This window comes from Homo sapiens, chromosome 19, assembly GCF_000001405.40.
Source record: "Homo sapiens chromosome 19, GRCh38.p14 Primary Assembly".
NCBI lineage: Eukaryota > Metazoa > Chordata > Mammalia > Primates > Hominidae > Homo > Homo sapiens.
Genome location: NC_000019.10, coordinates 48,381,675 through 48,408,378, shown reverse-complemented (window position 1 = coordinate 48,408,378; position 26,704 = coordinate 48,381,675). Strand labels below are relative to the sequence as shown.

General features: G+C 55.3%; 2 protein-coding genes across 4 annotated transcripts in view, besides 7 other annotated features; one reads left to right on the top strand and one right to left on the bottom strand.

Moving 5' to 3' along the window:
• GRIN2D (glutamate ionotropic receptor NMDA type subunit 2D) overlaps nucleotides 1-14,711 on the bottom strand; it is a 51,264-nt gene extending 36,553 nt beyond the window's left edge. The window contains exons 1-4 of one of the 2 annotated variants that reach the window (NM_000836.4): nucleotides 14,511-14,711; nucleotides 13,443-13,721; nucleotides 9,522-10,012; nucleotides 3,026-3,645 (exon numbers count right to left, since the gene is read on the bottom strand). In NM_000836.4, the coding sequence (NP_000827.2) occupies nucleotides 3,026-3,645; nucleotides 9,522-9,986 (1,085 nt within the window). In that variant the 5' untranslated portion in view covers nucleotides 9,987-10,012; nucleotides 13,443-13,721; nucleotides 14,511-14,711. Of the gene's footprint in view, nucleotides 1-3,025; nucleotides 3,646-9,521; nucleotides 10,710-13,442; nucleotides 13,722-14,510 lie in introns of those variants that run through there. The other variant, XM_011526872.2, reaches the window with a different exon arrangement.
• Nucleotides 4,453-4,747: an enhancer, noted in NCBI's record as "tiled region #12315; HepG2 Activating DNase unmatched - State 8:EnhW, and K562 Activating DNase matched - State 5:Enh". NCBI's record gives its function as "activates a minimal TATA promoter and a strong SV40 promoter by Sharpr-MPRA in HepG2 and K562 cells {active_cell/tissue: HepG2 | K562}" and the evidence as "EXISTENCE:reporter gene assay evidence [ECO:0000049][PMID:27701403]".
• Nucleotides 7,154-7,695: an enhancer, noted in NCBI's record as "OCT4-H3K27ac-H3K4me1 hESC enhancer chr19:48903941-48904482 (GRCh37/hg19 assembly coordinates)". NCBI's record gives its function as "activates a minimal SCP1, AML or CMV promoter by ChIP-STARR-seq in naive H9 embryonic stem cells {active_cell/tissue: H9 hESC(naive)}" and the evidence as "EXISTENCE:reporter gene assay evidence [ECO:0000049][PMID:30033119]".
• Nucleotides 9,405-9,624: a silencer, noted in NCBI's record as "silent region_10880". NCBI's record gives its function as "represses an Ori minimal core promoter by ATAC-STARR-seq in GM12878 lymphoblastoid cells {active_cell/tissue: GM12878}" and the evidence as "EXISTENCE:reporter gene assay evidence [ECO:0000049][PMID:35858748]".
• Nucleotides 9,785-9,884: a silencer, noted in NCBI's record as "silent region_10879". NCBI's record gives its function as "represses an Ori minimal core promoter by ATAC-STARR-seq in GM12878 lymphoblastoid cells {active_cell/tissue: GM12878}" and the evidence as "EXISTENCE:reporter gene assay evidence [ECO:0000049][PMID:35858748]".
• On the top strand, nucleotides 10,967-25,804 carry KDELR1 (KDEL endoplasmic reticulum protein retention receptor 1). 2 transcript variants are annotated; one of them, XM_047438095.1, is made up of 6 exons: nucleotides 10,967-10,987; nucleotides 14,255-14,324; nucleotides 17,855-17,955; nucleotides 18,668-18,826; nucleotides 23,897-24,149; nucleotides 25,052-25,804. In XM_047438095.1, the coding sequence occupies exons 1-6, from the start codon at nucleotides 10,982-10,984 to the stop codon at nucleotides 25,084-25,086; spliced, it is 624 nt and encodes a 207-aa protein (XP_047294051.1). In that variant the 5' UTR covers nucleotides 10,967-10,981; the 3' UTR covers nucleotides 25,087-25,804. The 2 variants fall into 2 exon arrangements, with proteins under 2 accessions (XP_047294051.1, NP_006792.1); NM_006801.3 differs by lacking the exons at nucleotides 10,967-10,987; nucleotides 14,255-14,324 and adding an exon at nucleotides 16,828-17,111.
• Nucleotides 12,140-12,323: a silencer, noted in NCBI's record as "fragment chr19:48899313-48899496 (GRCh37/hg19 assembly coordinates)". NCBI's record gives its function as "represses an EF-1alpha promoter that drives an FKBP-Casp9 reporter gene in an ReSE screen in HepG2 liver carcinoma cells {active_cell/tissue: HepG2}" and the evidence as "EXISTENCE:reporter gene assay evidence [ECO:0000049][PMID:32094911]".
• Nucleotides 16,672-16,991: a silencer, noted in NCBI's record as "silent region_10878". NCBI's record gives its function as "represses an Ori minimal core promoter by ATAC-STARR-seq in GM12878 lymphoblastoid cells {active_cell/tissue: GM12878}" and the evidence as "EXISTENCE:reporter gene assay evidence [ECO:0000049][PMID:35858748]".
• Nucleotides 17,862-18,001: an enhancer, noted in NCBI's record as "active region_14891". NCBI's record gives its function as "activates an Ori minimal core promoter by ATAC-STARR-seq in GM12878 lymphoblastoid cells {active_cell/tissue: GM12878}" and the evidence as "EXISTENCE:reporter gene assay evidence [ECO:0000049][PMID:35858748]".
• Nucleotides 25,805-26,704: the final 900 nt, after the last annotated feature.

Below are 26,704 nucleotides of genomic sequence, written 5' to 3'. Positions count from 1 at the left end.
TACAGGCACACACTACCACGCCCAGATTTTTTTTTTTTTTTTTTTGAGATGGAGTCTCACTCTGTCACCCAGGCTGGAGTGCAGTGGCTCGATCTCGGCTCACTGCAAGCTCCGCCTCCCGGGTTCATGCCATTCTCCTGCCTCAGCCTCCCGAGTAGCTGGGACTACAGGCGCCCGCCACCACGCCTGGCTAATTTTTTGTATTTTTAGTAGAGACAGGGTTTCACCCTGTTAGCCAGGATGGTCTCGATCTCCTGACCTTGTGATCCGCCCGCCTCGGCCTCCCAAAGTGCTGGGATTACAGGTGTGAGCCACCACGCCCGGCCAACGCCCAGCTAATCTTTAAATTTTTTGTAGAGATGGAGTTCTCACTATGTTACCCAGGCTGGCCTGGAACTCCTGGCCTCTAGCGATCCTCCTGCCTCAGCCTCCCGAAATGCTGAGATTACAGGCATGAGCCACAGCCCGGCCTATCCATGTTTTTTAACCTCCAAATTTCACCTATTCAGAAAGGCCTTTCCTGACCACCCCACCTAGCATAGCCCCCTATGCATTTCTTATCACATTCCCCAGTTTGATTTTCATAGCAGAAGTTATTGCCTGCTTGATATTTCCTTTTCTTTACTTATTTGCTCATTGCATTTCTCTTTTATCAGATTGTAAGCTCTGAGAGAGCAGGGACCTTATTTAACACTATATACACCCTGTGCCTAAAGCAATGCTTGGCACATAGCAGACTTTCAATAAAGGGCGTTTCAATCAATAAATGAATCAATGAGCAATTCATCCCTCAGGTCACAGCTCAGATACCTTCTCCTAGAAACCTTCCTGACTCCACAGGCTGACTTGTGACTTGTGCAACCTGGTTTGGAAGGCAGACTGAGGCTAATACATTTCCTCTCTTGGGATGACATTTTGCTATGAGATCTGGAGGGATGAGTTGTGACCAGCAAGAGCTGAAGTTATGAGGGAGAAGAAATTCTGGGTAAAGAACTGAACAGCGTCTGGGAGAGGCAAGCCTGAGAAACAAAGAGAAAGAGAGAGAGAGAGGAAGGAGATGGACAGAGGGAGGGAGGGAGAAAGCATAGAATAAGAAAGACAGAACCAGCTGGGCTCGGTGGCTCACGGCTGGAATCCCAGCACTTTGGGAGGCCGAGGTGGGCAGTTCATTTGAGGTTAGGAGTTCGAGACTGGCCTGACCAACATGGCATCTCTACTAAAAATACAAAAAAAATTAGCCGGGCATGGTGGCACGTGCCTGTAACCCCAGCTACTCAGGAGGCTGAGGCAGGAGAATCGCTTGAACTCAGGAGGTGGAGGTTGCAGTGAGCCCAGATCACGCCATCGCACTCCAGCTGGGCGACAGAGTGAGACTCCGTCTCAAAAAAAAAAAGAAAAAGGAAAAAGAAAGAAAGAAAAAGAAAAAAAGAAAGAACCAGAAAGAGCTGAAAGAGTAGCTGGCCCCAGGCTTAGCCTCAATTCCTGGCTTTAATTCCTCTGTGTGTTTATTTTTCCAATAAACCCCCTTTTCCCTAAGGAAACTCCAGTGAGACTCTGCTTCATGCATCCGAAAATCTCCTGGCTTAGCCAGTGCTCCTCCCCGTGCCCCCGCCATGCCCGCATGACCTCCATTACTGCAAGCATCATGCTGCGTTGCCATTATCCCTGTCCCTGTCTGCCACTCTTACAGGACCCTGCGTTCTTTGAAGAATAAGTTCATGGTCTTATTCATCTATGTTCCCAGCGCCCAGCATGAGCCCTAGTTCCTAGCGGGTGCTCAGTAAGTATTTATGAAGAAGGGATGCTTTTCTCATCCTCTTTTTCGGGGATCCTGATTCCCAAGTCACCAGTTCTCAATTACCCTCTCTTAGGTCTTCTTCCCCAACCATCATCTCTTCCCAAATTCACCCCATCCTCGTTCAGGATTAAAGGTCTCTCTTTTCACTGTTCTGTCACCAAACTTACCAATTTTTCCACTCCCAGAGCTTCCTACCGTGGAGATGCTATTTTCCAACAAACTCTGTTCGCCTCTTCTAAAATAATAGTGCGTAAGTTGGGCACACACCTGTCCAGCTAGGACTGACATTTCCCACTCTTCCTTGCAGTTGGCCAGGCCATGTGCAGGAGTAATATTCAAAATATGTAGCAATCGGCGCTGCACAGGCACTAGCCAATCAGAATGGACGTCTAGCCAGGAATGGACGTCTAGCCTATCGGAATGGACGTCTAGTCAATCAGAATAGGCGTCTAGCTAATCAGAATAGACGTCTAGCTAATTCCAATAGACGTCCAACCAATCAGAATGGACACCACTGTCAACAACCAGTAAGCCAGCCCTGACCATATGACTACGTTCTCAACAGTAAGGTATGAGGCGTGTCCTTTCTGCCTCACTTACTCAAAAGGAAAGTGCTTGCTGTCCACTTCCTCTCTTTTCCCCTTCTCATGAGCTACAATTCAGACATCCCCACGACCCACTTCGACCATGCAGAGATGCCAGAGTAACAGTGTGGGAGAATCCTGGGTCCCTGAATGATCACATGGAACAGCAGTCTCCTTATCAGGGTTGTTACGTGAGAGAGGAACAAACTTCGACCTCATCTGGGCCACTGGATTGTTGGGTCTTTTTTGCTACTGAAGCTCAGTTTATAGTCTAGGTATTTAGACTAAATCTAAAATGCTCTCAATTATAAGATGTACCACAAAGAAAGACAAAAGTGCTGCCAATTAAGCCATGATAAGTCATCAATTATAAGACACATCTCGTTTTCAAAGACATTAAAATGTGAAACATTATGCATCTTAGAGTCATGAAATATAGTAATACACTCACTTTATCTCAGGTGCTTTTTCCAAATTACTTGATTTAACCTCAGAAAAGAGACCCAATTGCACCCACTTTACAGAAAAGAAAACTGAGGCTCAAAGAGCAGATGTGGCCCATTTGAGCCACTCATTCAGTGAATACTGAGGTAGTTAGGCTCTGGGAGCCCTCCCACACCCCTCCCATTCCAGCCCCACTCACCTATGCAGACTCTCGCCGCGGTGGGTGCGGTTCTGGGCGCGACAGTCGTGGCCGAGCTCAGGAAGGAAACCATAATCACGCAGCAGGGCCTGGGCACCTCTGGCCACTACGGCCACGCCAGCTGCCACTCGCCGAGCCAGGTCATCCCGCCAGCCAGCCGAGCGCACTGCAAACAGCCCGGCAGGCAGGGGGGCGCCTCCTGGCAGAAGAGGGGGCTCACCAGGGGCCCCAGAGCCCCCGCCTCCAGCCAGCTGGGGCCCCACCATGAACCAGACGTAGCCAGATCCAGTGAGGCCAGCCTCCTCAGCTGCGCGGAACACGGGCTCGGCCTCCTCTCGGGCGCAGAAGAGCAGGCGGATCTGCGCGCTGACACTGCGGAGCTGGGCACTGAGCACGGCCTCGCCCGCCCCAGGGTCCAGCGTCAGCGCTCCGCGGTGCTCCCAGCCCACCAGACTACCGTCAGTCAGCACCTCAATGTAGGACAGGAAGGCCCGGTGGCCAGGGGCACGAGTGGTCACGGCTACAAAGGACGTCCAGTCATACTCCTCCAGCACCTCAAAGATGACCTGAAGCTGTTGCTCGGTGGAAGAGCCCAGCTGCAGGAAGGTGGAGCCCTTCTCCTGCCAGGGAGGGAGGAGGATGTCAGGCCTGCCGATGTGGGGACCTTATTTCTCAGCAATGAATAAGGGGACCACAGCTCCCAATATGGCAGACTGACTCGACAGGTTCACTAAACCCATCTCCTTTTCCTCCTGGGGCACAGGGCTAGATCTGGATTAGGTTTAGCCACGTGATGAGTTATTCTAGACTCATCCATAAAACCTTAGTTTTTTGTTTTGTTTTTTTGTTTTTTGTTTTTTTGAGACAGAATCTTGCTCTGTCGCCCAGGCCGGTGAGCAGCGGCATGATCTTGGCTCACTGCAACCTCCGCCTCCTGGGTTCAAGTGATTCTCCTGCCGTGCCCAGCCTAATAAAACCTTACTCTTGAAGCTTAGTCCTCTGAAGGGGATTACAGAGCTACAAGAGGGTGAGAGCCTGAAACCCCGAGTCACCATACGGAGGAAAGCCACCTCCAATCAGGAACACCTGTTTGGATTTTTTTTTTTTTTTTTTGAGATGGAATTTCACTCTTGTTGCCCAGACTGGAGTGCAATGGCACAATCTCGGCTCACTGCAACATCCGCCTCCCGGGTTCAAGCAGTTCTCCTGCCTCAGCCTCCCGAGTAGCTGGGACTATAGGCGTGCGCCACCACGCCCAACTAATTTTTGTATTTCTGGTAGAGACGGGTTTTCTCCATGTTGGCCAGGCTGGTCTTGAACTCCTGACCTCAGATGATCCACCCGCTTTGGCCTCCCAAAGTGCTGGAATTACAGGCGTGAGCCACTGTGCCTGGCCTGGATTTTATATGAATGAGAAACAACCTCCTGTTGGGTGATCCACTGAGATTTGGGGGTTCATCCGTTCCAGCAGCTAACATCACTGTCATTAATACAACCAGCATCCGGTAAGGGAACTACAGCCCCCAGCAGCCACTGAGAGGGACTGGTTCCCTGAAGGCAGTGAGGAGACTACATCTCCCAGCATGCAATGAGGGTGCTGATGGTATTTCCCTACTGGAAGAAGCTTTGCAGAGTGTCCTTTCCCTTCTTTGGTTTTCCTCCTACCTCTCTGTCACCTCTTCCTCTGCCTCCTTTGCTGGCCCTTCTTCCTCAGCCAGAATTCTAAATTCTAAACACTAGGAGTGCCTTACTGTTCTCTTCTCTATTCCTCTCTCCCTGGTGATCTCAACCAGGCCCATGAGTTTAAATACTGTCTCCCATGCTATCCAATAGGGTGGCTGTTAGCCACTCATAACTATTCAAATTAAAATTAAATAAAATTTATCCTGAATCAAGGACCAGAGGAAAAAAATGTTAAATAGAATTTAAAACTTAGTTTTCTGGGTGCACTAACCACTTGTCAAGTACTCAACAGCCACATGTGGCTTGTGGCTTTCAAATCGGACAGAGCAGCTATAGAACAGCTTCATCTTTGCTGAAAGTTTTATTGAACAGTGCTGGATATGTTAATGGCTCCTGTCCTCAGTCACAACCTCTCATGTGAGCTCCAGACAAATCTATCCTCCAGCCTTTTTTTTTTTTTTTTTTTTTTTTTGAGACAGAGTCTTCCTCTGTTGCCCAGGCTGGAGTGCAATGGCACCATCTTCACTCACTGCAACCTCTGCCTCCTGGGTTCAAGCAATTCTCCTGCCTCAGCCTTCTGAGTAGCTGGGATTACAGGCACATGCCACCACACCCAGCTAATTTTTGTATTTTTAGTAGAGACAGGGTTTCACCATGTTGGCCAAGCTGGTCTCGAACTTCTGAACTCAAGTGATCTGCCTGCCTCGGCTTCCCAAAGTGCTGGGATTACAGGTGTGAGCCACCATGCCTGGCCCCTATCCTCCTTTTTATTCAATATCTCCTCTTGGATTTCCAAGGTGTCTCAAAATTAGCATGTCAAAAACAGATTGCTCGATCTTTCCCCTATCTCAAGACTGTTCCCTATTCTCTCTCTCTCTCTCTCTCTCTCTCTCTCTCTCTCTCTCGTAAAGGAGTAAAGAATCTTTTTTTTTTTTTTTTTTTTTTTTGAGACGGAGTCTTGCTCTGTCGCCCAGGCCGGACTGCGGACCGCAGTGGCGCAATCTCGGCTCACTGAAAGCTCCGCTTCCCGGGTTCACGCCATTCTCCTGCCTCAGCCTCCCGAGTAGCTGGGACTACAGGCGCCCGCCACTGCGCCCGGCTAATTTTTTGTATTTTTAGTAGAGACGGGGTTTCACCTTGTTAGCCAGGATGGTCTCGATCTCCTGACCTCATGATCCACCCGCCTCGGCCTCCCAAAGTGCTGGGATTACAGGCATGAGCCACCGCGCCCGGCCAGGAGTAAAGAATCTTAAGGAATAAAGAGCAGCTGCCTTTTTTTTCCTCTCTCTCTCATTCACCCTGATGCTCAGGCCCCAAACCTAAATCATCCTTTCCCTTTCTTTCCCTCACACATTCAGCCATCTCCAAGTCTTCTTAGCTCTACGTTCAAAGATAGCTCCAGTTGTCCACTCCTCACTGCCATCACTGTCACAACTCTCATTGTCACCCTTTCTTGCCCAGCTATCTACAACTTTCCCACCCATCTCTGTTTTCTTTTCTCTCTTTCTTTCTTTCTTTCTTTCTTTCTTTCTTTCTTTCTTTCTTTCTTTCTTTCCTTCTCTTTCTCTCTTTCTTTCAAGTTTCGCTCTGTTGTCCAGGCTGGAATGCAGTGGCGAGATCTCGCCTCACTGCAACCTCCACCTCCTGAGTTCAAGCAATTCTCCTGCCTCAGCCTCCCAAGTAGCTGGGATTACATGCATGCACCACCATGCCAAGCTCATTTTTGTATTTTTAGTAGAGGGAGGTTTCACCATGTTGGCCAGGCTGGTATCAAACTCCTCACCTCAAGTGATCCACCCGCCTTGGCCTCCCAAAGTGGTGGGATTCCAGGCATGAGCCACTGCGCCCAGCCTATCTTTGTTTTCAATCTTGCATCTTCCAGTCTATTCTCCAAACAGCAGCCAGAGTGATTGTTTCAAAATATTAATTGGATCACATCCCTTCTCAATTGAAAACCTTCCAGTGATTCTACCTCAGAATCAAAGCCAAAGTCCTCACCGTGGCCCCAAGGCCCTGCGTGAACTGGCCCCCGTTGCTTCTCTGACCTCATCTCCTGCCACCCCAATCCCCCAGTGGGCTCCAGCCACACTCCCTTCTTGCTCTTCCTCAAATACATCAAGCTCCTTCCTGCTTCAAGGGCTTTGTCCTTTGTTGTTGCCTCTCCTGGGGACACTTTTCCCTACCTCCTCCATGCCAGACCTCCACCTGACACCTCCAGCTCAGGTGTCACCGCCTCAGGGAGGCCTCCCCTGACTGCCATCTATTGAAACTCCATCCTCAGTCATTACAACATCCTGTGTTGATTTCCTCCAGGACAGCCGGATTTTACTGTTACTGGTTTTGTCTGTCTCACCATTAAAATGCAAGCTCTATAAGGCAGGGACCTTGTCTCCCTCTCTTTTTTTCCCCCCCCCTCTAGAACTGTATTCCCTAGGAATTAAAACAGCCCTGGCACAGAATCAGCTCTCAATAAATCTTCCTGTAATGCAATGAGAACAGCAAGTGGGCTTTCTCCCTAGGCGCACAGGGGATACTGCAGTTGTCCTGAGGGAATGAGTTCTTTTTGTTTATTGTTTTTTTTTTTTTTTTGAGAACAGTCTCACTCTGTCCCCCAGGCTGGAGTGCAGTGGCAAGATCTCGGCTCACTGCAATCTCGGCTCACTGCAACCTCCGCCTCCCAGGTTCAAGCGATTACTCCTGCCTCAGCCTCCTGAGTAGCTGGGATTACAGGCATGCGCCACCATGCCCGGCTAATTTTCATATTTTCAGCAGAGATGGGGTTTCTCCATGTTGGCCAGGCTGGCCTCAAACTCCTGGCCTCAGGTGATCTGCCCGCCTCGGCCTCCCAAAGTGCTGGGATTACAGGTGTGAGCCAGTGCACCTGGCCGGAAATGAGGTCTTATTGTAATGCAAGGAGAACCTCTTCCTTCAGCAGGTGGAGGTGTGCTGAGGGGACCACATTCCCAGCATTCAGTGGGGCACAGATGGAGCTGTGAAGATCATTCTTTCTTCCATCCAGGGGCAGCACGGGGACTACATTTCCCAGAATGCTATGGGCGTACACTGAGCCGACCGCAGTGCCCAGCGGACAATGAAACAGAGAGGACCACACTTCTCAGCAGCAATGAAGGCACGAGGGATCACGTCTTTTGAGTATGCCTTGGAAGTGGCAGTTAAGAAATAAGTTCGCCTCCCAGGGCATCTACCTACAAATCTCTGAAAAGTACCATGCCAAGGAGAACAAGAAAGTTGGACAGAGGTCCTTCCCAGAATGCTCTGGACAGGAGAGGACTACGAGCCTCTGCATACAACAGTGATGCAGTCACACAGCCACAGGCCCGCACAGCAGGGAATGGGCAGATTGAATGAAGCTCCACCTCTGGGTTGCGCTGGCCCCACCTCTGGAGAGGCCCCGCCCCTTCTCAGGCCCCACCTCCTAGCTGACCCATTCTCAATCCACAGAGCAGGCTTGGTCCAATTCTCTCCTTCTCTACCAGAGGTCCGCTACAACTGGCCCCTTCTGTGCCCTTGGGAGTCAGGCCTTTCTCCAGGCTCTGGCCAGCTCCAGCCTCTACCATCCCTTCCCAGCAGGCTCCTGGCTTTGATCTGTCATTGGCTGGGTCGGCCTCCACCATAAGCCTTCATCCTCCTGCCCATCCTCTGGACTCTCGCTTTCCACACCTCACAGCGGGGTATGCCCCTTCTCAAACCCTACTCTCAGGACCGGCTTCCTCCCTAGACCCACCCCTTTATTAGAGTGCTTAGGCCCCGCCCCTCGCTGGCCCCGCCCCCAACTGGCTAGCCCCGCCCCCTTTTCTGACTCACTCCTTCCCTGACTGGCCTCGCACCAAATCTCAATTCCTTGCTTCCTGGTTCTACCCCTTGCCCGTCCTCCTCTCTCTAATGACTCTTCCTCTTTTCCGACTTCCACTTAGAAGATGGCTCCTCCATCCCTGGCTGACTTCTAGACCCTATGCTCTACCGGCCGAACGCCTCCCCAAACTCTGTCCTTGGTACCTGATACCTCTGATACTTCCTAGCTGCCACCTCTCCACTAGACTTCGCCCCTTTCTTTCTGAACTCCATTCCTTTTCTTTTTCTTTTGGACAGAGTCTCACTGTGTCGCCCAGGCTGGAGTGCAGTGGCACGATCTCGGCTCACCGCAGCCTCCGCCTCCCGGATTCAAGCAATTCTCTTGCCTCACCCTCCCGAGTAGTTGGGATTACAGGCGCCCGCCACAACGCCCGGCTAATTTTTGTATATTTAGTAGAGACGGGGTTTCACCATGTTGGCCAGGCTGGTCTCAAACTCCTGTGACCTCAAGTGATCCGCCGGCCTCGGCTTTCCAAAGCGCTGGGATTACAGGCGTGAGCCACCGCGCCCAGGCCCATTCCTTTTCAACTGACTTCTTCCTGTGCTGATCCTAGGTCCCACCCCTCCCTCAGATTTTGCCATTTGGGGCTAGTCCCTTTTCGTTCCCAGCCCCTAACCCTTCCCTCGACTCGCCTTTACTACAGACCCTTACCTGCAATGAATGGGCCCACGTCCTCCCTATACTCTGATCATCGAGGACTGGCCTCTTTCTGACCCTAAAGGCCCAGCTTACCCTATAGACCAGCCCCCTCCAAGTCAGCCCCGCCTCTAATCTAGCCCTAAGCCCTGCCTACCATCTGGGCCCACCTTGTCCCAGACTCGGACCCACAGGACAGTCCCCGCCCCCTCTAGGCCCCGCCCCCGCTGGCTGTCCCAGTCCCGCCCCTCAGCGGCTGTCCCCGCCCCTCCTGTGGCCCCGCCCCGCCCCGGTCGCGCGCACCTTGGGCGTGAGCACGAGCGCGGCGCCGCCGTGCACGGCCACGATGGGCAGCGAGGTCTGCGCCGACAGGAAGTCGAGGATGGGCGCGACGGCGGGCGCGCGCGAGTCGTCTTCGAAGACCACGCCGTGCACGCGCAACCCCGACAGCAGGTCGCAGAGCTGCAGCACGAGGCTGCGCGGGTCCGAGCCGTTGAGCACCAGCGCCACGGGCCGCACGTCTAGGCCCGGGCTGCGCACCGCCGCCGCCACGGCCGGGCCCAGGCGTGCCGCCTCGGCCGCGTACGCGGGCCCCGAGAACACGAGCGCCACGTTGAGCGGCCGCGCCCCGCCGAGGCCGCCGCCGGGCCCACCGGCCCCGCCCGGCCCCGGCGCCTCCTCCGGGAACGGGCTGGCGCAGGCCAGCGCCAGCAGCAGCAGCATCTTAGCGGGGCCCCGAGGGCCGCGGGGGCCACCGGCGCCGCGCATCGCCTGCGGGCCCCGCCGGGCGGCCTCTGAGCGCCCGGGCCGGGAGAGACGGGGAGGAGAGGGAGGCACAGACGGGAGACGCAGGGACAGGGAGACGAGATAAAGAGACGCACAGAGGAGGAGATGCAGCGAGGGACAGGCGCCGAGATGGGGAGGACAGGGAGCGGTCGGGGTGATGGAACAGAGGGAGAGACAGGAACGGAGGACGAGAGAGATGGAAGGGAGAGAGACAGAGGGAGAGAGAAATGGAGGAGAGACAGAGGGAGAGACGGGCAGAGGTAGAGAGAGATGGAGGGGAGAGAGAGGGGGAGACGGAGAGAGAGAGATGGAGGAGAGACAGGCAGAGACAGAGGGAGAGACAGACACAGCAGAGGGAGGTGGAAGGGAGAGGTGGGGAAGAAACACCAGAGGAAGAGGTGAAACAGGGAGAGACGCAGAGATAGGGCGAGACAGAGATAGGAAGAAGTGGAGTATGGGATTGGGGGAGACGCAAAGACGAGGGTGGATAATGGGGTCAGGGGAAGATACAGAGGTAAGAGGGGAGAGAGAGGAAGATAGACAAGGTGGGGATGGGGACACCCACAGAGATGGGATCAAGATAGGAGCAGAGAGAGGCCCAGGGAGACGGGGAGGGAAAGAGCGGCAGGAAGAAGGAGAGAGACGGAAGCAGCAGAGACGGGGAGAAGACGGAGAGAGAGAGGACGGAGTGACAGAAACAGGAATGAGGGAGGCCCAGGGAGAGGATGATAGAGGCGGGAAGAGATGCAGGAAGGCGGGAGAGATAAGCGAGGCAAGAAAGTTGGACAGAGAAGAAGACAGCAAGGCAGGAAGAGGGAGACAGAGACCCCAAGGCCACCAAGAGACACGCGCACATAAAGGATGGGGAAACAATTGAGATTGAGGGAGGCAGGCAGAGCGGAGCGAAAACAGGAGGACAGAAATAGCGAAGCAAGGCCAAGATCGGGACCCCCACCAGGGAGGTGCCCAGTACAGACATGAAAGTAAGGCGGGGAAGGCGAGTGGCAGGAGGGAGCAGAAATAAAAGGGAGGAAAAGGGAGAGAAAAAATGAGAGGGAAAAGGGGTCAGGTGTGTGGGGAGAGAAAGAGAGAAATTAGTGGGGCACCCCAAGGAGAGAAAATCCCCACATGACCTTACTCCTCACCCTGACCACAACCCCTAACCCATTTTGTCCCCTTAGTCCTGTCCCCATCCCCTCATTCTCAAAGCAAGGGAGTCATGGCCCCATCTGGGATGTGGGGTTGGGGGGCACAGCTGTGGAGAGCTGGGTGGGGTGGGTGTGGGGGTCCCTGGCACCCAGCCCAGAGCAATTTGGTAAATTAGAGGAAATACAGCCTCTCTTCCTGTGCCCCCTGTTGAATACTAGCCGCCTGGGGTGGTTGGGCTGGGAGCCAGGCTCCTGGGTCCTGCCTGGGACTGAGGGAGGAGGGCACTGGGAGTCTGGACTCCTGGTTCCCAGAGAAGGACTGGAGTCCGCACTAGGGGCTTCCAGAAGGGGTGAGGGTCCAGACAAGGAAGGGTTCTCTCCTGGCTGTCATGCTCCTGTCTGGTTGCCATGGTAGCGCAGGCCTCGTCCACCCCACAGACAGCCAGGGCGGGGGAAAGGTCCACCACCCCTCCCCTGCCTCGAGGCCACAGCCCGTCCCCTCTGCCCACCACCTCACCTTCCCAGAGATCTCGGGCCCCTGTCTCCCCAGGGAAGGGGTTGGGGGCTCCTAGTATGCCCATCCCTCCCCGATCCTGGCTTCTCTTCGCTCCTCCTTTCCATTGCCCTTCCCCAAGCAGCTGGCTCAATCAGCGCTCAGAATAACCCCCCCACTCCGCCCCAAAATAACCCACAGCTGTGGCCTGGCCCCCGCGGGGTTAACACTCACGCTCCCCTCCATTCCCAGTGGCTGCTCACCCTCCAGCCCCTCCTCTGCCTCTCCCAGACCCACCCCTACCTGGCTTCTGCTCTTAGGGACCCCGCGTCCCACTCCCTACTGAGGCCCAGGAGGGCAGCCCCCGGCCCCACCCTTCTCACGGGGGCTGCATGCTCAGTTCCTAACCACAGGGATTAGGGAGAGCAGCCTCCCCCACTCCAGGGCCTGAGGAGGGGCATCCCCAGTCCTCCAGGACTCTGAAGGCCCAACCCCCAGAACCCACGCCCTCAGGGATCACAGAGTCCAGCCTCTGGACAACCCCCCGCTCCCCCCGCCTCCATCTCTACCTCCTCATGAGCCTCCGTTTCCACTTCCATCTGCATAGGGCTAAAGTCCCCAACACTCATCTCCTGCCCTGTCAGGGACTCAGGAGACTGAGCTCCCAGCCTGCCTTCCTCAGACGGAAGCGCTATCCCCTACCTCCTCCCGTAAAGACCCAGGAGTCCTTCTGGCAGCCCCTTCCTCCCCCAGGCCTTGGGAGTCTGGGCATTCGGTCCTGTTCTTTCCCAGGACCCAGGAGGCCAGGCCCCTCCTGCCCCAAGACTCTGGAACTCCAGTGCCCAGCCTCCTCTCCCTGCAGGAACCAAGAGTCCAGGTCCCCAGCTCCCCTCTTCCCCCAAGGACCCAGGAGTCCGGGTTCCGGCTCCTGTCCTCCCTTAAGGATCCCCTTTTGGTTTCAAACCCTATCCTTCCCAACATCCTGGGTGCCCCCCCACCGAGCTCTGGCCTCCCTAGTCACCCCACTTAGATCCTGTACATAGCACAGCCTGTCCCCAAGCGGGGAGGAGGAGGAGGGTGCCAGAAATTCCTAGGGTGTCCCTGTCTTCATTGCCCCCCACAGCATCCAACAGAGAAGAGAGGAGCGGCCACTTCGATCAACAGCTCCCCCCACAACCTCGAGTTGTGCTGCAGACGGCATCCCGTTTCCTCCCCCCTCACCTCCCAACACACACACACAACATCGGTCTCTCCCCACCCGAATCCTGATGCTTGGAAGAGGCTGGAAGGGTGTTCCAGAACCTTGAGGAAGGGGTGGGAGCTTGGGGCGAGGGGTGCTGGGGGCCTGGATGCCCTCAAGGTCCTTGGCGGGGGTATTAATAGCAGACTCATAGCTCTGACATGGGAGGGGAGAGCGAGAGGAGAGAGGGAGAGGACCGGCTCGCGATGGGGGGACTGATGCAGGGAGGGGGGTACAGGGAGAAGGTGAGATAGAGAGATGGAGGCACAGGGATATGGGGCATCAGGTATGTGGGGATGGGGAGAGGGAGCCAAGTGTCAGAGAAATGGGGGCGTGAAAGGTCTGAGGTGTAGGGACTCAGGAAAAAGGGGCTCAGAGAGGGAGAGAGAGAGGGTGGAGGAGAGTCCCTGAGGGACAGGGGAGCTAGGTGGGGGTCAAGACCCCTGCCCACCGTTCAAACCCCCTCCCTCCACGAGGCTTCTTGCCAACTTCCTCTGTCCTAGATTTGGGGGTCCACATTCCCACCACCATCCCTGCATCCCCTGTCCCCGCCTTACCTTTTCATGACCCTGTTCTGTTGGGGGGATGGCGGGGGGGCCAGGACCGGAACCCGGCGTCCAGCGACCCCAAGATTCCGAGGAGGGCTCAGAGAGCCGATGTCGGGGGGCAGGCCCCGGGGCGGCGGCAGTGGTGGTGGCGGCAGCAGCGGCAGCCCGGACCTCCTGTCTGTCCCTGGCTCCGTCTCTCCTTCCTCTTCCTTGGTCCTGTCCTGCCCTGTCTCTCCCCCAAGGTTGCGGCCACCTGGACTAGGCGAGGACGTGGCTACACATGTTGCTCTGGAAGTTGGGCCCCGGACATTGCAGAGGCTGTCGGGGTGTCCTCTTGCCGCCCCGACCCCGTGGGGATCCCCCCTCCGCCCACCCGGGGTGCCCCCCTCTGCCGCTTCAGCCCCGGCTCCTCCCCCCTTTCCATGTGTCCAGTCCCGCCTCTCCCTGGCTCACTCGCACCCCCGCTTTGTGCCCTCAGCCCCCCCACCCCCCCTTCCAGCGTCTGTGTCTATCTGTCTGTCTGGGTCACCTCTGAAGCTAGTGGCTGGTGTGTGCGTGTGAGGAGCGGGAGATTGCCTGCTTGGGGAACTGCTTGCCCCTTCCTCGCTTGGCCACCTCTAGACCCCCCCTTGACTCCCCCACTCTCAAACACAGGCAGAAACACACATACACTCACGCACACACGCACGATCTCACTTCCCTGGGATTCCCCCTCAACACCCCCAGAGCTTGAGGAGGGACACACACACAGACACACACACACAGAGTGGGGGGTCTAATGGGGGCCAGGCTGCCACTGCTGATAGGGGCTGTTTGGACAGACAGGAGGACACAGGCAGCCGGGGACGCCCAGACGCCTGGCCGGACGCAGGCAGGAGGCACAGAACCCAGGTACACACCATCCATCTGGGTTTGGGGGGGCCGGGGGGAAGGAGCGGGAGCCCCACGACACCCAGGCAGGCAGCTCAGGGTCGGTACAGACAGACAGACCCCTCCCTCCCTCCGCCGCCGCAGCGCTTACAGACACACCCCCCCTCCACCAGCCAGCCCCAGACACCCGGACACACAGATCCTCACCGGGCAGATGGCAGACGCTCGAGAGACCCCTGGGGGCCGGGCCGACCTACCCAGGCAACACCCCCAGCAGGCACCGGTGGCCGAGGGAGGCTGCGGGAGGCTGCGGGCGAGGGTGGCGGCGGCGGCCGCGGCTTGGAGGAGCTGGAGCGGGAGGGACTCACACACTCGCTGTGTTCTCGCACACACACACTCACTCGGGATGCGATTAACATTCAGTCCCCGTCTGCCACTGCCGGGAGACCCACAGCCCCCCCTCCTGGCCTCCCTGGGGACCCCTTCTCCTGCCAGGCTTGGGGAGGGGGCCGCCCCCCACCCCTAGCTACCAGCCTCTGCCTTCCTCCTGGGACAAGGGAGTGAGGGGCTGAAAATAAAAAGGGAGGAAGAAGTCAGGCTGGGGACAGGCAGGCAGGGACTCAGAACCCGGTATGGAGACACCAGCTTCAGAGCTAGACTCCAGGGCTGGGGGTTGCTGCCCTCTGCCCCCGCCCTGCCTTGAGGCTCTGGAAACAGGAGGCCTTTCCCTGACTTCAGTGTTCGCCACACTAAGACCCAAGCTGTGGCTTTTATTGCCCCAGAAGGCCAGGCCTGAAAACCAGGTCTCGACCCTGGTCCCAGGAGTCCCACCCCCCAGCCCCTCCTCCCTCAGACCCAGGAGTCCCCTTCTCTACTGGGACCCAGGAATTTGGGGACCGCCTCCAAGTCGGAGTCTCTTTTAAGGACTCAGTCATCCCGACTCTCCCCCGTACAAGCCACCCTCAGGGACCCAAGACTCGTGGATGTCACCCTTGGGCACCCCGTCCTTCCAGCCCTCTGAAGAAATCAACACGCCTGCACCCCTTCTTTTATTGAGGGACCCTGGCCTCCATCATCTGTGGGTACCCCATCATCCGGAAGGGAAGCCACGTCTGTCCCCTCATAGATGCAGGAGTCCAGACCACAGGCTGTTCCCCGGGGGTCCCACACCCAGATGCCCAGCATTCCCCTCCTGCTAGAGGGCTGGGCCCGGCACTTTTATAAAGCCACCCGTGGGGCTCTGGGGTAGAGCGTGGGGCAGGACACCGGGGCCTCTGAGGGTGGAAGAGGGTGTGTGTGTGTGGGCAGGGCAGAAACTCTGGAGCAGGGGGGAAGCCAGGGCCAGGGGCTCCTGAGGTAGTTTGGGTCAGAGTTTTGGCCTTGAGCCTCCTGGGTGAGGCTCCTGTTTCCTTCATCCTCAAGGTCTGGGAGAACAGGGTGAGGTGCACATTCCTGAAAAAGAAGAGAATCAGGGCCTAAATCTGTGGGTCGTAAAGGGAGAAACTGTAGATCTAGATTCTTAAGGTTAGGATGTTTGATCCATAAGATGGTGGGGGTGGGACCCTAAGTTCCAAGGAACAGCGTCCTAGGAGGGAAAAGGGCTGGGGCCCTGAACTCCTGGGTCTGAGGGAGGAGGGGCTGGGGCCCTGGACCCCTGGGTCTGAGGGAGGAGGGGCTGGGGCCCTGGACCCCTGGGTCTGAGGGAGGAGGGGCTGGGGCCCTGGACCCCTGGGTCTGAGGGAGGAGGGGCTGGGGATCTGGACTCCTGGGTCTGAGGGAGGAGGTGCTGGGGGTCTGGACTCCTGGGTCTGAGGGAGGAAGGGCTGGGGGCCTGGACTCCTGGATCTGGGGGAGGAGGGTCTGGGGGCCTGGAGTCCTGGGTCTGAGGGAGGAGGCTGGGGGCCTGGACTCCTGGGTCTGAGGGAGGAGGCTGGGGGCCTGGACTCCTGGGTCTGAGCGAGGAGGAGCTGGGCCTGGACTCCTGGATCTGAGGGAGGAGGGGCTGGGGGTCTGGACTTCTGGGTCTGAGGGAGGAGAGGCTGGGGGTCTGGACTCCTGGGTCTGAGGGAGGAGGGGCTGGGGACCCAGACTTCTGGGTTTGACGAACGGGCTGGGGCCTTGAGTCCTGGGTCTAGGGGAGGAAGTAGGTGGGGTATCTTTCTTGTCTTCTGGGGGATTGGAGTTAGAGTGCCTGAAAGCTGCAAAAGCTAGCAGCTGAGCCTCCGGGTCCCTGCAGGATTTTTCAAGCTCAGAGGGCAGTCTCTACATCCCTGCAAGGGCTGAGGCTGGTGTACTGGACTGCGTCTCTTCCAGAGACACAGACTGCCTGGGCGAACCGGTGCTGGATTTGGCACTTTCCGAACCCTGCGACCCTCCCAAGTTCCTATGGGGCAGCTTTGGGGGTGCGTTTAGCGCCGCCACGGCAAAGCAGGAGGTGGGCGATAGGGGGCGCCGGGGATCCAGGCCCCGCCCTCGGGGGCGGAGCCTCTCCTCCCGGACTCCTCCCCCTCTCGCTCTCCTCCCTCTTCCCGGCTCCAGCTCCGCCGCCAGCTCCAGCCTTTGCTCCCCCTCCCAAAGTCCCCTCCCCGGAGCGGAGCGCACCTAGGGTCCCTCTTCCGTCCCCCCAGCCCAGCTACCCGTTCAGACCAGCAGCCTCGGGGGGCACCCCCCCGCCAGCCTGCCTCCCTCCCGCTCAGCCCTGCCAGGGTTCCCCAGCCATGAATCTCTTCCGATTCCTGGGAGACCTCTCCCACCTCCTCGCCATCATCTTGCTACTGCTCAAAATCTGGAAGTCCCGCTCGTGCGCCGGTGAGAGGCCCACCAGGGCTGGCGAAGGAGAGAGATTGCGGGCGGGGGTTGGGGGACGTCGCAGGACTCAGGAAGGGTTTGGGGGCACTAGGGGCACAGGTTCCACCCCCACTGCTTGCTGGGGATCTCTCTTCTAGGTTCTGGGTCTCCAGGGGATCAGCTCCCTTCCCCAGACTGGCGGGGGTGCATACAGTTTCATGTGAATGGCTTTAGGCCCCCAATTCAGCCACCCCCAGCCCCAATCTGGGCAGCCCGAGGGTTCATGGACCGGGAACAGGGAACCATGGCAGGCGGGGAGGTGGCTGTGAGTTGGTGACGTGGACCGTGGCGGCCAGGAAGGGAACGGGAGGGAGGTGACCGGATCCGGGGCCTGAGGTCAGGGAAGGTCCTCCCTAGGCCTCACCTCAGGTCCAGACTGCGGGAGGACCCTGAGGGGCCAGGGGTAGCCATGAGGCCTAGTCTGGGACGGAGCCTCGGGCTGGAGTAGCTTCGGGGGCCTGGGCTGCCCCCTGGCTGTGGTCCGTGGGAAAGGGCCCTGCTCAGGCGGGGCGGGCTGGGGAGGCCTCCGGGGACAGCTGCACTCCAGAGCTGCCTCCAGGCTGGTCCCGGGCGCCCTGCCTTAGTTTATTGCCCATGCAGCCCACCCCCAGCTTCCTCTCTCCTTCTGTCTGTCTGTCTGTCTGTCTGTCTCTCTCTCTCTCTCTGTCTCTCTCTCTCTCTCTTTCTCTGTCTCTGGACCACAGGAATTTCAGGGAAGAGCCAGGTCCTGTTTGCTGTGGTGTTCACTGCCCGATATCTGGACCTCTTCACCAACTACATCTCACTCTACAACACGTGTATGAAGGTAGAGGCTCCACCCCACCTCTCTGGCCCCCACTGAGGCAGAGGAGCCGGGTGTGGGTCCCAGACTCCTAGGTCTGAGGGAGGAGGGGCTGGGGGCCTGGACTCCTGGGTCTGAGGGAGGAGGGGCCGGGGGCCTGGACTCTTGGGTCTGAGGGAAGAAGGGACTGAGGCCTGGACTCCTGGGTCTGAGGGAGGAGGGGTTGGGGGTCTGGACTCCTGGGTCTGAGGGAGGAGGGGCCGGGGGCCTGGACTTTTGGGTCTGAGGGAGGAAGGGACTGGGGCCTGGACTCCTGGGTCTGAGGGAGGAGGGGCTGGGCCTGGACTCTTGGGTCTGAGGGAGGAGGGGCTGGGCCTGGACTCCTGGATCTGAGGGAGGAGGGAATGGGGCCCTGGACTCCTGGGTCTGAGGGAGGAGGGGCTGGGGGCCTGGACTCCAGGGTCTGAGGGAGGAGGGGTTGGGGGCCTGGACTCCTGGGTCTGAGGGAGGAGGGGCTGGGGGCTTGGACTCCTGGATCTGAGGGAGGAGGGGTTGGGGGCCTGGACTCCTGGGTCTGAGGGAGGAGGGGCTGGGGGCTTGGACTCCTGGGTCTGAGGGAGGAGGGGTTGGGGGTCTGGACTCCTGCGTCTGAGGGAGGGGCCTGGACTCCGGGCTCTGAGCCTACTGGGGCACAGGCCTGTGAGTTGAGGCCCCTTCTCATCATCCCCCTCCTCAGGTGGTCTACATAGCCTGCTCCTTCACCACGGTCTGGTTGATTTATAGCAAGTTCAAAGCTACTTACGATGGGAACCATGACACGTTCAGAGTGGAGTTCCTGGTCGTTCCCACAGCCATTCTGGCGTTCCTGGTCAATCATGACTTCACCCCTCTGGAGGTAGGCGCCTTGCTGTGACTCCTTATTTGGGGGGATGGTTGTGGCAGAGTAGCTATGACAGGAGACCCTCTCACAGGCTTCCTTCTGCAGGGTGTGCCCAAACTGCCTTATTTTAGGATGCATAAGTTCAGTGCATGGGCTCTGGGGTCAGAGGAAATTAACACAACAGCAGCAAGACTCGCTATGTGTCAGTCACTACCCTAAGCATTTCACCTACTTACTTTTCTCAGCAGCCCCACTTTACAGATGAGGAAACTGAGGCTTAGGGATTCTTTTTTTTCTGGAGACAAAGTCTCGCTCTGTTGCCCAGACTGGAGTGCAGTGGCATGATCTCGGCTCACTGCAACCCCCGCCTCCCAGGTTCAAGCAATTATCCTACCTCAGCCTCCCGAGTAGTTGGGAAGACAGGTGCACATCACCATGCTCTGCTAATTTTTGTATTTTTAGTCCAGACAGGGTTTCACATGTTGACCAGGCTGGTCTTGAACTCCTGGGCTCAAATAATCTGCCTGTCTTGGCCTCCCAAAGTGCTGGGATTACAGGCGTGAGCCACCATTCCTGGCCCAGCCTTCTTGAATTTGAATTCCAAATCTGCTAGTTTCTTTTTTCTTTCTTTCTTTCCTTCTTTCTTTCTTTCTTTCCTTTCTTCCTTTCTTCCTTCCTTTCTTTCTTCCTTCCTTCCTTTCTTTCTTCCTTTCCTTCTTCCTTTCCTCCTTCCTTTCTTCCTTTCCTCCTTCCTTCCTTCCTTTCTTTCTCTTTCTTTCCTTTCTTTCTTTCTTCCTTTCTTTCCTTTCTTTCTTCTTTCCTTCCTTTCTTCCTTTCTTCCTTTTCTTCCTTTTCTTCCTTTCTTTCTTTTTTCCTTTCTCTTTCGACAAAGTCTCGCTCGGTTGCCCAGACTGGAGGCAGTGGCATGATTCTGGCTCACTGCAACCTCCACCTCCCAGGTTCAAGCGATTCTCCTGCCTCAGCCTCCCGAGTAGCTGAGATTGCAGATGCCCACCACCAAGCCAGGTTATTTTTTGTATTTTTAGTAGAGACAGGGTTTCAACATATTGGCCAGGCTGGTCTCGAATTCCTGACCTCAGGTGATCCACTCTCCTCAGCCTCCCAAAGTGCTGGGATTACAGGCATGAGCCACCGCGCCCGGCTCCAAATCTGCTAGTTTCTATTAGCATGATCCCGTGCATGTGACTTGACCTCTCTGTACCTCGGTTTCCACATTTGTAAAGTTGTGATCAGGTCATTGTGAGAATTTACTGAGACTTTGCAGCACTGCCTGGTGTCAAAACACATAAAGACTCTAGAATCAGAGTGTAAGGATTTGGACCCTGCCTCTACCATGTAGCAGCTATGGGATTCTGGGCAAATCACATAACTACCCTGTGCCTCAGTTTCCTCATCTGTAAAATGGAGATAATCAGTTCCTATGTCATAGGGTTCAAATGAGAGGTTGGTATTAATAAAGCACAGTATCTGGGATGAGGTAGGAAGTGCTGTGTCAATCAATGTTCAATGACTGAAGTGTTTAGTCCCATCTCTGATACTTTTACTTTTAAATGTTCGCTGTTAATGATTTTTATTCCATGGTGTTTTGCTGGGACCTGTACAAACTCCTGGGAGGAATTTTGCGAGAGCCAGTGCTAAGTTTGCGATCTCTTGCCTCCTGGGGCCTGGCAGGAATCATAAATTCAGGGTAACCTTTTCTTACCTGTGCCCACTCCTGCCTTATAGGAAGATAGGCCTGGGTGGCCAGATGTGCTGATCTTTTCAACAGAAGCCATAATTCAGGAGTTTTCAGGCAAGATGTCTCATTTTAAAATTTTAGCCACAGATTCAGACTATATTTCTTTTTTTTTTTTTTTTTTCTTTTTTGAGATGGACTCTCATTCTGTCGCCCAGGCTGGAGTGCAGTGGCACGATCTTGGCTCACTGCAACCTCTGCCTCCCAGGTCAAGCGTTTCTCCTGCCTCAGCCTCCCGAGTAGCTGGGATTACAGGTGCTTGCCACCACGCCTGGCTAATTTTTGTGTTTCTAGTAGAGATGGGGTTTCACCATGTTGACAGGCTGGTCTTGAACTCCTGGTCTTAAGCAATTCTCCCATCTCAGCTTCCCAAAGTGCTAGGATTACAGGCATGAGCCACCGTGCCTGGCCTTCAAAACATATCTCTAAAAGCACTGTATAGGCCAGACAAATCCAACAGAGGGTGACTTTGGCCCATGGGTCAGAGATATCAGAGGGAGGCTGCATCATGCTGTGGTGGGAATCCTGGGCTTGGCTCCAGGCCCTGGACTTTGCAAACATATTGTTACCACCTTGCTTGGATCACTTATCCAAGCCCTTGACTTAGCTCATAACTGCCCTGTTGACTAGGGATTACTAGACCCATTTTGAAGATGGGGAGACTGAGGCTGAGGGAGGTAGTGCGGCTTGCTGAAGGTGGAGGAGGCCAGACCAGAACCCAGGCGTCTTTTTTTTTTTTTTTTTTTTAAGTCTTGCTGTGTCACCCAGACTGGAGTGCAGTGGCACGATCTCTGCTCACTGCAACCTCTGCCTCCCAGGTTCAAGCAATTCTCGTGCCTCAGCGTCCCGAGTAGCTGGGATTACAGGCATGAGCCACCACACCCAGGTAAAATTTTTTTGTATTTTTAGGAGAGACAGGGTTTTGCTATGTTGACCAGGGTGATCTTGAACTCCTGGCCTCAAGTGATCCACCTGCCTCAGCCTTCCAAAGTGCTGGGATTACAGGTGTGAGCTGCCGTGCCTGACCTAAGGAAAATATTCTTTAAAAATTCAGACATCAGGCTGGGCGCAGTGGCTCACGCCTGAATCCCAGCACTTTGGGAGGCTGAGACAGGTGGATCGTGGATCACGAGGTCAGGGGTTCAAGACCAGCCTGGCCAAGATGCTGAAACCCCCTGTCTATTAAAAATACAAAAATTAGCCGGGCATGGTGGCATGCACCTGTAATCCCAGCTACTCGGGAAGCTGAGGCAGGAGAATCACTTGAACCCGGGCAGCAGAGGTTGCAGTGAGCTGAGATCGTGCTACTGTACTCCAGCCTGGGTGACAGAGCAAGACGCCATCTCAAAAAAAAAAAAAAAAAATTCAAACAGCATGGAATAGATAAAAATGCAAGACTGGGCGCAGTGGCTCACGCCTGTGATCCCAGCACTTTGGGAGGGTGAGGTGGGTGGATCACTTGAGGTGAGGAGTTCAAGACCAGCCTGGCCAACATGGTGAAACCCTGTCTTTACTAAAAAAATACAAAAATTAGCAGGGCGTGGTGGTGAGTGCCTATAATTCCAGCCACTTGGGAGGTTAAGGCAGGAGAATCACTTGAACCCGTGAGGTGGAGGTTTGCAGTGAGCCGAGATCGCGCCACTGCACTCCAGCCTGGGTGACAAGAGTGAAACTCGGCCTCAGGAAAAAAAAAAAAAAAAAGCAACAGACCTTCTGTCTCTCTTTAAACGGTGACTCTGTTCCCTAAGGGCAACCCCAGGGGTGAGAGTTGAATGGGCATCAATTTAATGGGTTCGTTTCCCAGCAGCATCAACTAACCTGGCTTCACGAGAGCCTCCCTGGAGGATTCTGGATGATTCTGGGAGCAGGTCCTGGACTCTACGTGCTTCAGTGGGAATCTGGACACGTTTCTTATCCTTTGGGCCTCAGTTTCCTCATCTGTAGAATGGGAATGACAACAGTACCTACCTCATGGGGTTAAGGCTCAGGCCAGTTAACACCCTAAGGAGCGATGCCTTGGATGTCGTAAATGCTAGAAAAGCATGAGTTGTTATGAATAGGTCCTGGTGCCCCCCACCTTCCTTCCACAAACCAAGACAACCAAGGAGCCACACCTGCCACCTGGCTTTGCTCTCTGAGGTTTCAGTGTGTCTGCAGATCACAGATCACCCCAGGTGGCACTTTCAGGGAGCTGGGGACTGAAAGGGGGCTGGCAGATGTCTTCTTCCCTGTCCCATGATGTCCTGTCCTGCTCATGAATGATGGTTGTCAGTGCTCCCTAAATGGTGGCCTGTGCTGAGCACATGGGGACCCCTTTATAGATGCTAACTCCCATTTCCTCACTCATTCAGGAACTGTGCTAGGTGCTAGGGCCACGGGGTGAACAAGAAGTAGGATCCCAGCCCTCACAGAGCTCAATTGCTGGTGCGAGTGGCCAGGAAGGAGATAAGATGGGGTGATGTGACAGTCCTGGGGGAAGGATGGCCAGGGAGGGTCCCTCTCGGGAGGTGACTAATGAGCTGAGGCTGGGAGAATACGGAGGAGGCAGATGTGTGACAGTGTAGGGGAAGAGCTTTTCCTGCTGTGGGAACAGCATATGCAGCCTGCCACAAGAAATGGCATGTGGGCCCGGCACGGTGGCTCATGCCTGTAATCCCAGCACTTTGGGAGGCCAAGGCAGGCAGACCACCTGAGGTCAGGAGTTCGAGACCAGCCTGGCCAACAAGGCAAAACCCTGTCTCTACTACAAATACAAAAATTAGCCGGGTGTGGTGGTGGGCACCTGTAATCCCAGCTACTCAGGAGGCTGAGGCAGGAGAAACGCTTGAACCCAAGAGGCAGAGGTTGCAGTGAGCCGAGATCACCCCATGGCACTCCAGCCTGGGTGACAGAGTGATACTCCATCTCAAAAAAAAAAAAAAGAAAAAGAAAAAGGAAGGGAAATTTCCAAGGCAAGATTCCAACCCAGCCTGCCTTTCAGAGAGGCGCAATTGCAAAGTGTTCATGAGAACGGACTGCGAATCCTTGGTTCGAATCATTGCTCTGCTGCTTGCTGGCTACATGGTCTTGGGCGAGTATCTTACCTTCTCTGGTGTCAGTTTCCTCATCTGTAGAATAAGTGTGCTAATCATAGGATCTCCTCGCCGGGCCATGGTGATGATTAAATCAGAGGTACCAGTAACTCGGGCAGAACTGTGTCTGGCACTTGGCAGCACCTGGATCACCTTCCTTCTCTCCACCTTCGCGGCACCTGTAACTGCAATGTTGTCCTCTGCCTTTTCTCCCGCCCTGTCCCCTCCCACCTCATCATGTCCCCGGCCTCTCTGCAGATCCTCTGGACCTTCTCCATCTACCTGGAGTCAGTGGCCATCTTGCCGCAGCTGTTCATGGTGAGCAAGACCGGCGAGGCGGAGACCATCACCAGCCACTACTTGTTTGCGCTAGGCGTTTACCGCACGCTCTATCTCTTCAACTGGATCTGGCGCTACCATTTCGAGGGCTTCTTCGACCTCATCGCCATTGTGGCAGGCCTGGTCCAGACAGTCCTCTACTGCGATTTCTTCTACCTCTATATCACCAAAGGTAGCTGGAATGTGGGACGGCTGGAAGGGAACCTCCTATTTCTGCAGCTCCTGCCCTCCCTGGGGACTGGGGTCTCCTTACCCCTGTATTATGCAAAGAAGGGAGCATTTCTTCGCCGGGTTTCTGGGGTGGCAGGCCTACCATCCTCCTAGGAATTCAGACCGTTAGCCTCTGCCTCCCTAAGGGCTAAGGAGTTTCTGTCCTTAGCCCCCATGTCACTTGGAGCGTAGGCCAGGCAGGGCAGGGACTCAGCCCACTGAAATTCATTCATTTATTCATGCAACAAATGTATTGAGTACTTTCTATGTCCCCAGCCAGGTGCTAGGCTCTGGGGATACATTAGGAGGAGAAAAGATAGACAAAGGCCTCCATTTCCCTTTTATTCTGGTGGGGGAGATGGTGAATGAACAAGTAAAGAAAGAATTAGTTGGGCATGGTGGCTCATACCTGTAATCCCAGCACTTTGGGAGACTGAGGCAGGGAGATTTCTTAAGCCTAGGAGTTCCAGAGCAACATAGCAAGACCCTGTCACTATAAAAAATAAAAAAATAAAAAAATTAGCTGGGCATGGTGGTGCACGCCTGTGGTCCCAGCTCCTTGGGAGGCTGAGGTGGGAGAATTGCTTGAGGAGGTCAAGGCTGCATGGAGCTGTGACTATGCCACTGCACTCCAGCCTGGGCTACAGAGTGGGACCTTGTCTCAAAAAAAGAAAGAAAGAAAATTGCCAGTAGTGAGAAAGGGTAGGAAGGAAAGAAACCAGGAATGTATCTGTGAGTCCTGGGGGACCTCCCTCCCTGTGGATCTGCCCATCTAGCGTGCCTGCCCTGCTCTGGCTGTGGGAGGCTGTCCCCTCCCTGCAGGGGCCCCAGCGGTAATGCCCTCCCTGTTTTCTCTCCTCACAGTCCTAAAGGGGAAGAAGTTGAGTTTGCCGGCATAGCCCCGGTCCTCTCCATCTCTCTCCTCGGCAGCAGCGGGAGGCAGAGGAAGGCGGCAGAAGATGAAGAGCTTTCCCATCCAGGGGTGACTTTTTTAAGAACCCACCTCTTGTGCTCCCCATCCCGCCTCCTGCCGGGTTTCAGGGGGACAGTGGAGGATCCAGGTCTTGGGGAGCTCAGGACTTGGGCTGTTTGTAGTTTTTTGCCTTTTAGACAAGAAAAAAAAATCTTTCCACTCTTTAGTTTTTGATTCTGATGACTCGTTTTTCTTCTACTCTGTGGCCCCAATTTTTATAAAGTGTTTTTGAGTGTCCTATGGGCCGGGGCAGGGTCCAAGATCTTTTCCCTTCCCCAGGCCCCTCGGCTCCCTCCCAGATCCCACCCCCAGCCCCACTGGTTGCCAAACACTAAATCTGCCGACACCCATCTGCCCCACCTCCTGCCATGGCCATGAACCGCGACCCCCACTAAATTTCTAGATTGGGGATAGGGAGAAAGGGAGGCCCAGGAAGGTCTCCCCTGATTTTTTTTCATAGTAATTTTTTTCCCCAGAGTTTGAATTTTTTGGTCTTCTCCTGGTTTTTTGGCAAATTAGGGGGGCCCGGGGCTCAAGTGCGGGAAGGGGGCTGGCCCGAGGATCCCATGGCTCTCACACCATGTTTTTGTACAGAACTGATGGTTGAATCTTTGTTCTCTTGAAATAAACAGAAGAAAATGAAACCTTTCTTTTGCTGCTCCTTGCCACTCTGTCCCTGGTGTGTATGGGGTCCCGCCCCCGCCCCTCTTTCTGCTTCTGCTTTTGCCTTATTGACTATCTGTAGGCGACGAGGCCTAGGAGGAGCAGGAAGAGGAGAAACTGGGTCTCCCAAGACTCTCAGCTGTGCAGTTCCTCGCCGTGCTGCTGGGAAGAGGTTTTGGAGAGAATCTTGAAGAGTCTTCTTACCTTGGCACAGAACTTGTCTGATGGTTCTCCAAACCCTCAGGGTTGCAGAGGACCTTCAGGAGAATTGGCTGGGCATGGTGGCTCATGCCTGTAATCCCAGCACTTTGGGAGGCTGAGGCGGGCGGATCACCTGAGGTCAGGAGTTTGAGACCAGCCTGACCAACATGGCAAAACCCCGTCTCTACTAAAAATACAAAAAAAAATTAGCTGGGCGTGGTGGTGTGCCCCTGTAGTCCCAGCTACTCAGGAGGCTGAGGCAGGAAAATTGCATGAACCCAGGAGGCGAATATTTCAGTGAGCCGAGATCACACCACTGTACTCCAACCTGGGCAACAGAGTGAGACTCCATCTCAAAAAAAAAAAAAGAGCATGTATGTCAGGGACCACACATGGGCAGCCCCCGTCCTACCCTCACTTGACATTTTTTGTTGAGGCATTCTGTTTCCTTAAAAAAAGAGAATGGGTCGCTAGCCTTTAAAAACCAGATTTTCACATTTCTGGCTTCTCTTGAAAAAAAAAATCCATCAGTCTAACAATGCTGGGTCCTCATTTCTGGGTGGCAACAGATGGCTGGATCTGAATGGATGGGACGCAGCTCTTTTCACCACAGTCCCCAGGACTTGGCTGCAGGCTTGTTACATTTATTATTGGGCTGATGCCGTGTGGTTATTTTTGTT